This window comes from Homo sapiens, chromosome 3 (genome assembly GCF_000001405.40).
Source record: "Homo sapiens chromosome 3, GRCh38.p14 Primary Assembly".
NCBI classification, from domain to species: Eukaryota; Metazoa; Chordata; class Mammalia; order Primates; family Hominidae; genus Homo; species Homo sapiens.
In genome coordinates this window covers 75,095,424-75,109,901 of record NC_000003.12, presented here as the reverse complement: position 1 = coordinate 75,109,901, position 14,478 = coordinate 75,095,424, and positions in this window count along the sequence as shown.

The window sequence follows — 14,478 nt, the reverse complement described above, 5'->3', positions numbered from 1 at the left end:
TCATAGGTATGCTTGCTTTCATACCCCAGCCATGAGGAACACAAACACAAAAGATTACTTCTGGCTGAAGACAAGCTCACAGACAAAAATTATAAAGTACCTAACATTCATTTAACAGGATATTTCAAAAAGAAAAAAATAAATATTGTTCATTTTAAAAGACATTATTTAAAAAGACCAGGTCTGTTTAATAAACACTTAGAGCAATGAAAAACATAGGTATCAAAAGAAATTCTCATTGGATGGGATAAATAGTAGTCTAGTTAAGATAAGGACAGAGAAACTGCAAAAAGGTTTCCTTCAATATGGTACAGAAAGGCTAGGGCAGGGATTGTTGATAAGGCTCTGCCCTATGGTCTCTACAGCACCCACTGTGTGAATGGGCAGGGCCATTGCTTTCTTTCTGGTGTTCGCCTGGAGTAGGGTGGATTTAGTCAAAAGGTTCTGCTCTTCAGCTCTACTCTTTTTTTTTTTTTTTTTTGATCCTTGGTGAGAGAGTGGAGACTTTTCTTGTTGCACTGGCTGCACATCCTTTAGGGTTTCTGGGCGGCAAGCTTTTCTAGCACCCAGACTGAGATATACTGGAGGCATAAAAAAAATCCCAGGAAACTCACTACTTGCTAATTGCTCAAGTCCTGAGGCCAGTTGGCATCCTTCTCTTCACCTCCTTGAGTCTCCTCAGATTTGCCTTATGTATTTTGTCAAGATTTTTAGCCACAGTCAGCAAGAGGAATGCGGTGGAATGCACTTTTTTCATTTGGTCTGGAATTAAAAGCTCCACAAGTGATTCTTAAAAGTTGATATGATAAATCAAAGGATTCGACATTCCCATCAGTAGTATATGAGGGCTACCTCATTGCATTAATATATTTTAAAATATTTTCTTTTACAAAAATTTAGTGTCTACAACAGAACAAACCAATTGAATGAAAAATGAATAAGCAAGTCAGTTGTTTAAATATACTATTTTTCAAGATGCCAAATATAGAGGTAATTAACATTTTAAATGTTAACTTATTTTATTTTTTTCCAGCCAGATATTTTAAAATGTGTAAATGAGCCCAAGCTTTTTCTCAATATTATGAGTTTGTAAAATTATTAAGTACCTTCAATATTTTAAGTTTTGTCTTTTAAAAATTTATACATTAATATGGTTTGGATTTGTGTCCCCATCCAAATCTCATGTCAAATTGTAATCCCTAATGTTGGAGGTAATTGGATCATTGGGGCAGATTTCCCCTTTGCTGTTCGCCTGTTAGTTAGTGAGTTCTCATAAGATCTGGTTGTTTAAAAGTGTGTAGCACCTCCCCTTCTCTCTCTTCCTCCTGCTGTGGCCATGTAAGATGTGCCTGCTTCCCCTTCCACAATGATTGTAAGTTTCCTGAGGCCTGTATAGATTGCACAACCATAAGCCAACTAAATCTCTTTTCTTTATAAATTACCCAGTTTCAAGTGTCCCCTTCCCCTTCCCCTTCCCCTTCCCCTTCTCTCTCCTTGGGCTTCTCCTTCTCCTCCTTCTTCTTTGGACACAATCTCACTCTGTCGCCCAGAAGGGAGTACAATGGCATGATCTCTGCTCACTACAACCTCTACCTCCCAGGTTCAAGCAATTCTCATGCCTTAGCCTAGCTGAGACTACAGGCATGTGCCAGCACACCAGCCTAATTTTTTCTTTTTCATATTTTTAGTAGAGACGGGGTTTTGCCATGTTGGTCGAGCTGGTCTTGAACTCCTGACCTCAAGTGATCTGCCCGCATCGGCCTCCCAAAGTGTTTGGATTACAGACATGAGCCACCATGCCTGGCCACAAGTATTTCTTTATAGCAGTGCTATAATTGACTAATACATACGTTTATTAATATTGATTGGATTTTTTTCTTATTACTTTTATTTAACAATTTAAGTAATCACTTTAGAAAACTTTTAAACTTTTATTTATTTTTTTCCTGTGGAAAGAATGCATGTGATTTAAACTGACACAACTTCACCGGACAAGAAAACATAGCTGGCAGGTTTAATGAAACAGCAATTATAGTTGCCTTTATGAGAAAAATAATAATAATAATAATAATGTTATTTGAATATATAGAGAGAATTCAAAGGAAACATGTAACAAAAAGCTTTTTAAAAGCTACTAGTTGTGGTACTTACTTTCAACCCTGGGGGATAAATTTTCATGTCTTTCAGTAATTTTAACTTTTATAATTTTATAAAATATTTCCCACAAGCACACCCAGCCTAAAGTATATTAATTAGTCCCACATTCAAGGTTATTCTTAAACTTCTCAGTTTATATATCCAAAGTACACATGCTACAAAGAGAGCAGAGGGAAGTATCTTCAGTAAGCAGTGTGGCTAATGTTTATTTTGTAGAGAAATATCCCCATGCTGGTTTAAAATTTCCATTAAATGAAGAGTCATGCATTTTGGTATTGTTAATAAAACATTACCTACATTATCTTTTTATCATAATACTTCAGATGCTGACTCTTGCCTTCTTATTCCCCACATACCATTTTGCTCTCAAATCATTGCTGCCAATGGTTCTATTACACAGAGAGGCTGATTTTCCCTTCTGGCAAGAAAAAAATCATTGAAAAAATTTCATTTAAGGATAGTATAAAGTATACACAGGTCGAATCAAGGAGATTCTTCTGGATTTCATCCAGAAGTTGGGATCTTTGAGAATGTTCCCTGCCACCTCAACCTCTAGGAGTGGTTCCTATTCCTGGAAAATGTTATCTTTTATAATCCAATAAGTAGGAGGACATATCTTGATCATCGACAGTCAAACTGAAACTTTTCATCAGATTTCAATTCTTAGTGAATACTAGCCTTAGTAACAAACTCTACTTTAATCCTTTCTAAAAATAGTTCAAATGAGAGAAATGACAACAAATAATCAGAGAAAGGTTATCTGACATTTATTTAGGTTTTAAAAAAATAAAATAGCAATTATGAAAGGACTTTTACTTAAATTATCCCTTTTAAACTTGAAAACATGACCCTCTGGGTTAGGAATTTTTATCCCCATTTTAGAGGAAAGAAACTGAGCTATGGACACTTAAATAACTTTTTAAAGATGGTTCCTAATAAATCGCAGAGGCAAGACATAAGCCCAGGTCTTCTAACTCTTAGTCTAGTACTATTTCAACTGTAATGCAGTTACTTGAAGGAAGGAATAATAATCTTAGAGCTGGATAATTCATGTTAGCCAACTTTTACAAGCTATATATAATAACATTTCTAAACCTTACTATCCTCATTTATTAAAAATAATAATTTTGATTATTTTCTAGATAGTTGAAGAATAATTTTATGTGAAATCCTGTTATCAATTGCACAGTATTTTCTCCACCCCATCTAACCGCATGAGAAAGGATCTTTTTTTTCCCCAGGAATAAAGTTGCAGAGGACACCTATGACAATGTTTGCCCAGCAACTTATCTTGCCACTTTTCTAGTTACTGCCCCTTTATGCTTCCTTTGCCTTTCCAAATGGCTGAAGAAGGACCAGTTTTGTTAAATGGGACCCTTCCTTAATGCTGGAATTGATTAGTCCAAGAAATATCACTTGTATTAAGCTAAACAATAGCTTCTTTCCTGCAATTTCTGAACTTTGGATTGATAGACATGTATGTCAGTTTCTCAGCAGTCACGTTACCCCATTGAGCAAACCTCAGGAAAATTGGCAACCTGTGGGCCAGAGAAGCAGAGATAACCACTCTACGGAGAGCTAGAGATAGAGATAGTGACAGAGAGAGGATGAGACAGTGGTTGAGAGAGACAGAGAGGGAGGTTATTTTTAAAAATAAAGATGTGTAGAAAGAAACAAGAAGAGATGAAGTGCTCTGACATTGTTCATCTCTCTGATTCTAGTTATCCCCAGGTCCCTTCCAGGGCAGTGAGTATTTGTCATTTCCCATCTCTTTGTAATCAATTCCATTTTTGATTTAGAAAACTCTAACTGGATTTCTATCACTTCCATTCAGTTTAATTTTTTTCTTTTTTTTTAACAAAAAGCATAGTAGAGTATTTAGGCTTAAAACTGGCTCCTGAAGTACTCAAGTCCTAATCTCTGGAACCTATGAATGTTACCTTATAAATCAAAGTTGCTTCGCAGATGTGATTAAGCTAAGGATCTGATGATGAAGAGGTTATCATGTATTACCTCAGTGGGCCCTGAATTTTATCACAAGCATTCTTATAACAGGGAGGCAGAGGTACTAGGAACAATCATAAGCCAATAAGCTGGAAATCCTAGAAAAAATGAAATGTTCTCTAGAAACATACAATTGACTAAGACTGAATCATGAAGAAAAAGAAAATCTGGACAGACCTGTAACTAACATGGAGGTTACATAAGTAATCAAAACCGTTTCAGCAAAGAAAATCCCAGAACCAGATGGCTTCAGCGGTGAATTATACCAAATATGTAGAGAATTAATGCCAAGCCCTCTCAAATTCTTTAAAGGAATTACAGAGGAGGTAACACTTCCAAATTCATTTTGTGAGACCAGCATTGTTCTGATACTAAACCAGACAAAACGCTACAACAAAAGAAAATTACAGACTGATATCCCTGACCAATATATAGTACCTCCCCCTTATCCACAAGGGATATATTCCAAGAGTCCCTGTGTGAAACTGCAGATAGTTCTGGACTATGCATATATATATATATATACAGTTCATTTTATGTATGACATTATATATATAAATGAACTATACAGAGAGAGTTCTTTTTTATATATAATTTTTTTTCCTGTACATACATACCTGTGATAAAGTTTAAATTATAAATTAGGTATAGTAAGAGGTGAAGATGAACAACAATAACAAATAATAAAATAAAACAGTTATAACAATGTACTATATTAAACGTTGTATAAATGTGGCCTCTCTCTCAAATCATCTTATTGTTCTGTTCTCACCCTTCTTATGATGATGTGAGATGATAAAATGCCTCCATGATGAGATGAGTAAGGTGAATGGTGTAGGCATTGTGACTTAGTGTTAGGCTACTATTGACCTTCTGATGATATGTCAGAAGGAGGAACATCTGATTGAGGTGATCCTGGATCACTGAGCCATGATGATCCTTATGTTAGGATGTCAGGAGCAGATAATATTGATAACTAACAGGCAAGTAGCATACACTGCATGGTTACCTTGAAAACAGGAATGATGGATGTCCCAGGTAGGATGGAGCAGGTCGGCACAGGTATCACACTACTCAGAATGACACACACGTTAAAATTCATCAATTACTTATATCTGGAATTTTCCATTAATATCTTTGGGCCATGGTTGGCCATGGGTAACTGAAATCGCAGAAAGTGAAACCTCATGTAAGGGAGGACTAATGTACGTGCGAAAATTCTCAAAAAATACTAGCAAACAAAATTCAACAGTACATTAAAAGGGTCATATACTATGACTAAGTAGGATTATCCCTGGGATGCAAGGATGGTTCACCATATGAAAATCAATGTAATGCAGCACATTAACACAGTAAAAGGTAAAAACAGATTATTGTCTTAACAGATGAAGAAAAAACATTTGACAAAATTTAACAAACTGTTAAATAATAACAATTTGTTAAAACTGTTAAAACCCTCAACAAACTAGGAATAGTAAAAACTACCTCAATATAACAAAGGCCATAGATAAAAGCCCGTAATAAACATCATACTCTGGTGAAAAACTGAAAGCTTTTCCTCTAAAATCAGGAGAAAGTCAATTATTCCCACTCTTTCCACTTTTATTCAACATATTACTGAAAGTCTTAGCCAGAGCAAGTAAGCAAAAAGAAGGAACAAAATAAATCAAATTTTGAAAGGAAAAAGTAGAATTATCTCTGTTTGCAGATGAAATGACACCATAAATAGAAAACCCTAAAAACTCCACTTAAACACTATTAGACCTAATAAAGAAATTCAATAAAGTTAGGATACAAAGTCAACATACAAAACTCAGAAATATTTCTACACGCAAAGAACAAACTATCTGAAAGGGAACTAAGAAAACAATTCCATTTACAGTAGCATGATAATGAATAAAACACTTAAAAATAAAACAACTAAAAAAGCAAAAGACTTATGTGCAGAAAACTACAAAACATTGATGAGAGAAATTAAGGAAAACACAAATGGAAAGACATTCTGTGTTCATTGATTGGAAGGCTTAGCATTGTTAAAATGTTCATACTTTCCAAAATTATTTACAAATTCAATGAAATCCTCCTCAAAATCCCTATGGCATTTTTTTACAGAAATAGAAAAGACAATTCTGAAATTTATATGAAACCACAAAAGACTAGAAATAGCCAAATATCTCTTTTCTCTCTCATGCAGTTTCTGTTTCTTTATTCATTCATTCATTTACTTTTTAAGAACATCTTTACGTGGTGTTTGCTTTCTATCTCTGTATTCATTTTCCAAGGCATTTTATTTTTTTAAATTAACCTTTAAATTTATAATTGACACATAATAATTGCACATATATATGGAGTACGATGTGATGTTTCAATGCATGCATACATTGTACAATGATCAAAGTGGAGTAATTACCATATTCATCACTTTAAATCATTTTCACATCTTTGTGATAAGATTCAAAATCTTCTAACGATCTTGAAATATACACTATGTTGTTATGTGCTATAGTCACAATATTGTGTAATAAAACAACAGGAATTACTCTTCCTGTCTAACTGTAACTTTGTATACCAAATAAATATTGATTTTTTCAAAAAAAAACTGGAGGCATCACACTTCCTATTTTCAAAATATGTTATAAAGCTAAAGTAATCAAAACAGTATAGTATTGGCATAAAGACAAACACATAAACCATTGAAACAAAATAGCCCAGAAACAAATTAATGCATATAGGCTCAACTGATCGTCAATAAGAATGCCAATAATACATAATGGGGAAAGATCATTTCTTTAACAAATGGTGTTGGGAATATATGCATGCAAAAATACCTGGACATCCACATGCAAAAAAGTTGTACTGTGTTCTCATACCACACACAAAAATTAATTCAAAATAAACTCATGACATAAATGTAACATCTGAAATTGTAAAATTTATCAAAGTAAACACAGGGAAAAAACTTCATGACATTAATCTTGGCAACAATTCCATGAATATGATATTGATAGCTCAGGCAACAAAAGCAAAAACAGACTAATGAGATTACATCAAACTAAAAAGCTACTACACAACAAAGAAGACAATAAGCAGAGTGAAAAGTTAGCCTATTAAATGGAAGAAAGTATTTGTAAACCATATATCTGGTAAAGGATTAGTCTCCAAAGTATTTTTTTAATTCCTACAAGGGAATAACAGAAAACTAATAATCTAATTTAAAAATGGGCTAGAGATTTGAGCGAACATTCCCCAAAGAAGATATACAAATGGTCTCAAGTATATAAACAATGCTCAATGTCACTAATCATCAGGGAAATGCAAGTCAAAATCACAATGAGAGGGAAGAGGCAGAGCAAGATGACCAAATAGAAGCCTGCAGCAATCGTCTCCCTCACAGGAACACCAAATTGAACAACCATCCACACAAAAAAGCATTTTCATAAGAACCAAAAATTAGGTGAGTGATCACAGTACCTGGTTTTAACATTATATTAAGGAAACAGGCACTGAAAAGGATTGGAAAGACAGTCTTGAATTACTAACCCCACCCCTCCTTTATCCCCTGGCAGTGGCTATGTGGCACAGAGAAAATCTGTGCACTTCAGTGAGGGAGAGTGCAGTGATTGTGGCACTTTGCATTGGAACTAATTGCTGCCTCTCACAGCAGAAAGCAACATGGGGCACAGCTTAGCTGGAGCCCATGGAGGGAGCATTTAGAAAAGCCCTAGACAGAGGCAAATCACCCATTCCAGTAGTCAGAAGCTGAGTTCTAACAAGCCCTACAAGCAGCAGCTAAAGTGCTCTGCTGTGCTGGGCTCAGAGCCGGAGAATTTGGGGTGCGCGCAAACTAGCAAGACACTAGCCAGGAGTAGCCAAGTGAGTGAGTGCTTGCATCGCCCCTCCCCCAACCGCGGGCAGTGCAGGCAGCTCACAGTTCCAAGAGAGGCTCCCTCCTTCCGCATGAGGAAAGGACAATAGTACAGCGAACTTTGTCTTACAACTTACTCAGCCACAGTAGAATAGGGCAGCGGGCAGAGTCCTGAAGTCCTCATTCCAGGACCTAGCTCCCAGAGGGTATTTCTAGATACACCCAAGGCCAGAAAGCAACCTATTGTTTTGAAGGTAATCACCTCACCTTGTCAGGATTTACCACTTCCTGAATAAAAGAAACCTTGGGCCTTGAATAATCAGCACGTGGTGGCCAGGTGGTACTTGCTGTGGGCCGTGGTTTCAGGTGTGACCCAGCACATTCTCAGCTGTTGTGGTTACAGGGAGAGGTTTCTTTTGCTTGAGTAAAGGAGTGGAAGGAGTAAAGGGGATTTAGTCTTGCAGCTTGGGTACCAGCTTGGTCACAGTGAGGTAGAGCACCAAGCATGCTCCTGGGGTCCCTAATTTCAGGGCTTGGCTTCTGGATGACATTTCTGTACCTCCCCTGGGGTGAAGTGGAGGTCACTGCCTTGAAGGGGAAGACCTAGGCCTGGCAGCATTCACCATGAGCTAAAAACCCTCAAAAAATAGGTTATAGAAGGAACATACATCAACATAATAAAAGCCGTATATAACAGACCCACAGCTAATATTGTAAGTGGGGAAAACCTGAAAGCCTTTTCTCTAAGATCTGTGTATTAGTCTGTTCTCCCATTGCTATAAAGAACTACCCGAGACTAGGTAATTTATTAAGAAAATGGGTTGACTCATAGTTCCACAGGCTGTACAAGAAGCCTGACTGGGGCAGCCTCAGGAAACTTACCATCATGGCGGAAGGCAAAAGGGAAGCAGGCATGTCCTACATGGCTAGAGAAGGAGAAAGAGAGAAGTAGGAGGTGCTACACACTTTCACAAACAACCAGATCTTGTGAGAAATCACTCACTATCATGAGAATGGCAAGGGGGAAATCAGTCCCTTCTTCCACCAGGCCCCTTTTCCAACACTGGGGATTACAATTCAACATGATATTTGTGCGGGGACACGAACCCAAACCGTATCATTTGGGTAAGACAAGAATGTCCACTTTCACCACTGTTATTCAACGTATTATTAGAAGCCATAGCTAGAGCAATCAAACAAGAGAATGAAATAAACGGCATCCAAATTGGAAAGGAAAAAGACAAATTATACTTGTTTGCAGGTAATATGATCTTATAATTGGACAAACCTAAAGACTCCACCAAAAAACTATTAGAACTGATAAATTCAGTAAAGTTGCAGGATTAAAAAACATATACAAATTAATATATGTTAACATCACACAATTTGAAAATCAAGAATGTAATCCTATGTACAATAGCTATAGACAAAATAAAATATCCAGCACTAAACTGAACCTAAGGAAAGAAAGCTCTCTACAATGAAAACTATAAAATATTAATGCAATAAATTAAAGAGAACACAAGAAAATGGAAAGATAATCCATGTTTATGGATTGGAATAATTAATATTGTGAAAATATTCATGCTACCAAAAACAATCTACAAATCTAATGCAATTTCTATCAAAACACCCATTACATTTTTCACATAAATGGAAAAAACATTCTAAAATTTCTATATAACCCCAAAAGGCCCAGAAAACAAAAGGTATCTTGAGCCAAAAGAAAGAACTTGAGGAATCACATTACCTGACTTCAAATTATGCAATAGTAAACAAAACAGCATGGTACTAGCATAAAAAGATACAGAGGTCAATAGAACAGAACAGAAAACCCAGAAACAAATCCATATATCTACAGTGAACTCATTTTTGACAAATGTGCCAAGAACATACACTGGGAAAAGACAGTCTCTTCTCTGGGGAAAAGACAGTGCTGAGAAAATAGGATATCCACAGGCAGAAGAATAAAATTAGAACACTATCTCTAGCCATACACAAAAATCAACTCAAAATGGATTAAGGATTTAAATCTAAGACCACAGTCTATGAATTTATTAAAAGAAAACATTGGGAAAACTCTCCAGGACATTGCTCTGGACAAAATTTCTTGAGTAATTCCCCACAAGCACAGGCCACCAAGGCAAAAATGGACAAATGCGATCAGATCAAGTTAAAATCTTCTGCAAAGCAAATGAAACAATCAACGAAGTGAAGAGTCAAACCACACAATAGGAAAAAAATATATGCAAACTAACCATCTGACAAAGGATTAATAACCTGAATATATAAGGAGCTCAAACAACTCAACAGGAAAAACTCAAATAATTTGATTAAAAAATGGGCAAAAGATCTAAATAGACATTTCTCAAAAGAAGACATGCAAATGGCAAACAGTAATATAAAAAAGTGCTCAACATCACTGATCATCAGAGAAATGCAAATCAAAACTACAGTGAGATACCATTTTATCCCAGTTAAAATGGCTTTTATCCAAAAGACAGGTAATAATAAACGCTAGCAAGGATGTGGAGAAAACGGAACCCTCGTACATTGTTGGTGGGAATGTAAATTAGTATAGCCACTATGGAGAATAGTTTGGAGGTTCCTCAAAAAACTAAATATAGAACTAAAATATGACCCAGAAATCTCACTGCTAGGTATATACCCAAAAGAAGCAAAATCAGCATATTGAAGAGATATCTGCACTCCCATGTTTGTGGTAGTAGTATTCACAATAGCTAAGAGTTGGAAGCAACCTAAGTGTCTATCAACAGATGACTGGATAAAGACAGTGTGTGCATAAACACAAAAACCCAATGGAGTACTATGCAGTCATGAAAAAGAATGAGATCCTGTCATTTGCAGCAATAATGGAACTTGAGGAAGGACATTATGTTAAATAAAATACGACAGGCACAGAAATACAAACTTCACCTCTTCTCACTTACTTGTGTGAGCTAAAAATTAAAACAATTGAACACATGGAGACAGATAATATAATGATGGCTACCAGAGGCTGGGAAGGGACTCAGGGAGAAGTGGGGATGATAATTGATTCAAAAGTACAGTTAGCTAGAATGAATAAAATCTAGTATTTGATAGTACAACAGGGTAAGTACAGTCAACACTAATTTACTGTATATCTTAAAATAAAAGAGTATAATTGGATCGTTTGTAACACAAAGGATAAATGCTTGAGGTAACAAATATCTCATTACCGTGACGTGATTGTTATGCATTATAGCCTTTATCAAAATATCTCATGTATTCCATAAAATATACACCTGCTATGTACCCACAAAAAGGGAAAATTAAAAAATCACAACCAGATATTACCTCACAACTGTTAGGATGGCTATTTTTTTAAAACCCCAAAGAAAACAAGCACTGGAGACCATGTTGAGAAATTGGAACATTTATACCACTATGGAAAACAGTATGGAGGTCCTTCAAAAAATTAATAATAGAACTATTGCATGACACAGAAATCTCACTTCTGGGTATTCTTTATTTAAAAGAATTAAAAGCAGGATCTCAAAGAGATATTAGCACTCCTATGTCATAGTGGCACTATATCCAATAGCCAAGATGGGGGAAAAAATCTAAATATCCACGAACAGATGAATGGAAAAAGAAAATTATAGTATATGTGTGTGTGTGTGTGTGTGTGTGTGTGTGTGTGTGTATCATGTAACATTCAGTCTTAAAATAGAAGGAAATTCTGTAATATGAGACAACATGAATGAAAGATGAGGACATTGTGCTAAGTGAATTAAGCCAATAATCCAAAGAGAAATATTGCATGATTCCACTTAAATGTGGTATACAAATCAGTCAAGTTTATAAAATCAAAGACTGGGAGGAGGAGCCAAGATGGCCGAATAGGAACAGCTCCAGTCTACAGCTCCCAGCGTGAGCAACGCAGAAGACAGGTGATTTCTGCATTTCCATCTGAGGTACCAGGTTCATCTCCCTAGGGAGTGCCAGACAGTGGGCGCAGGTCAGTGGGTGCATGCACTGTGCGCGAGCCCAAGCAGGACGAGGCATTGCCTCACCTGGGAAGCGCAAGGGGTCAGGGAGTTCCCTTTCCGAGTCAAAGAAAGGGGTGACGGACACACCTGGAAAATCGGATCACTCCCACCCGAATATTGCGCTTTTCAGACTGGCTTAAAAAACGGCGCACCACGAGACTATATCCCACACCTGGCTCGGAGGGTCCTACGCCCACGGAATCTCGCTCACTGCAAGCCCAGCAGTCTGAGATCAAACTGCAAGGCGGCAGCGAGGCTGGGGGAGGGGTGCCCACCATTGCCCAGGCTTGCTTAGGTAAACAAAGCAGCTGGGAAGCTCGAACTGGGTGGAGCCCACCACAGCTCAAGGAGGCCTGCCTGCCACTGTAGGCTCCACCTCTGGGGGCACGGCACAGAAAAACAAAAAGACAGCAGTAACCTCTGCAGACTTAAATGTCCCTGTCTGACAGCTTTGAAGAGAGCAGTGGTTCTCCCAGCACGCAGCTGGAGATCTGAGAACCGGCAGACTGCCTCCTCAAGTGGGTCCCTGACCCCTGACCCCCGAGCAGCCTAACTGGGAGGCACCCTCCAGCAGGGGCACACTGACACCTCACAAGACAGGGTATTCCAACAGACCTGCAGCTGAGGGTCCTGGCTGTTAGAAGGAAAACTAACAAACAGAAAGGACATCCACACCAAAAACCCATCTGTACATCACCATCATCAAAGACCAAAAGTAGATAAAACCACAAAGATGGGGAAAAAACAGAACAGAAAAACTGGAAACTCTAAAACGCAGAGCACCTCTCCTCCTCCAAAGGAACACAGTTCCTCACTAGCAACGGAACAAAGCTGGATGGAGAATGACTTTGACGAGCTGAGAAAAGAAGGCTTCAGACGATCAAATTACTCTGAGCTACGGGAGGACATTAAAACCAAAGGCAAAGAACTTGAAAACTTTGAAAAAAATTTAGAAGAATGTATAACTAGAATAACCAATACAGAGAAGTGCTTAAAGGAGCTGATGGAACTGAAAACCAAGGCTAGAGAACTACGTGAAGAATGCAGAAGCCTCAGGAGCCGATGCGATCAACTGGAAGAAAGGGTATATCAGCAATGGAAGATGAAATGAATGAAATGAAGCGAGAAGGGAAGTTTAGAGAAAAAAGAATAAAAAGAAATGAGCAAAGCCTCCAAGAAATATGGGACTATGTGAAAAGACCAAATCTACGTCTGATTGGTGTACCTGAAAGTGATGGGGAGAATGGAACCAAGTTGGAAAACACTCTGCAGGATATTATCCAGGAGAACTTCCCCAATCTAGCAAGGCAGGCCAACATTCAGATTCAGGAAATACAGAGAACGCCACAAAGATTCTCCTCGAGAAGAGCAACTCCAAGACACATAATTGTCAGACTCACCAAAGTTGAAATGAAGGAAAAAATGTTAAGGGCAGCCAGAGAGAAAGGTCCGGTTACCCTCAAAGGGAAGCCCATCAGACTAACAGCAGATCTCTTGGCAGAAACCCTACAAGCCAGAAGAGAGTGGGGGCCAATATTCAACATTCTTAAAGAAAAGAATTTTCAACCCAGAATTTCATATCCAGCCAAACTAAGCTTCATAAGTGAAGGAGACATTAAATACTTTACAGACAAGCAAATGCTGAGAGATTTTGTCACCACCAGGCCTGCCCTAAAAGAGCTCCTGAAGGAAGCACTAAACATGGAAAGGAACAACTGGTACCACCTGCTGCAAAATCATGCCAAAATGTAAAGACCATCGAGACTAGGAAGAAACTGTGTCAACTAACGAGCAAAATCACCAGCTAACATCATAATGACAGGATCACATTCCCACATAACAATATTAACTTTAAATGTAAATGGACTAAATTCTCCAATTAAAAGACACAGACTGGCAAATTGGATAAAGAGTCAAGACCCATCAGTGTGCTGTATTCAGGAAACCCATCTCACGTGCAGAGACACACATAGGCTCAAAATAAAAGGATGGAGGAAGATCTACCAAGCAAATGGAAAACAAAAAAAGGCAGGGGTTGCAATCCTAGTCTCTGATAAAACAGACTTTAAACCAACAAAGATCAAAAGAGACAAAGAAGGCCATTACATAATGGTAAAGGGATCAATTCAACAAGAAGAGCTAACTATCCTAAATATATATGCACCCAATACAGGAGCACCCAGATTCATAAAGCAAGTCCTGAGTGACCTACAAAGAGACTTAGACTCCCACACATTAATAATGGGAGACTTTAAGACCCCACCGTCAACATTAGACAGATCAACGAGACAGAAAGTCAACAAGGATACCCAGGAATTGAACTCAGCTCTGCACCAAGCGGACCTAATAGACATCTACAGAACTCTCCACCCCAAATCAACAGAATATACATTTTTTTCAGCACCACACCACACCTAT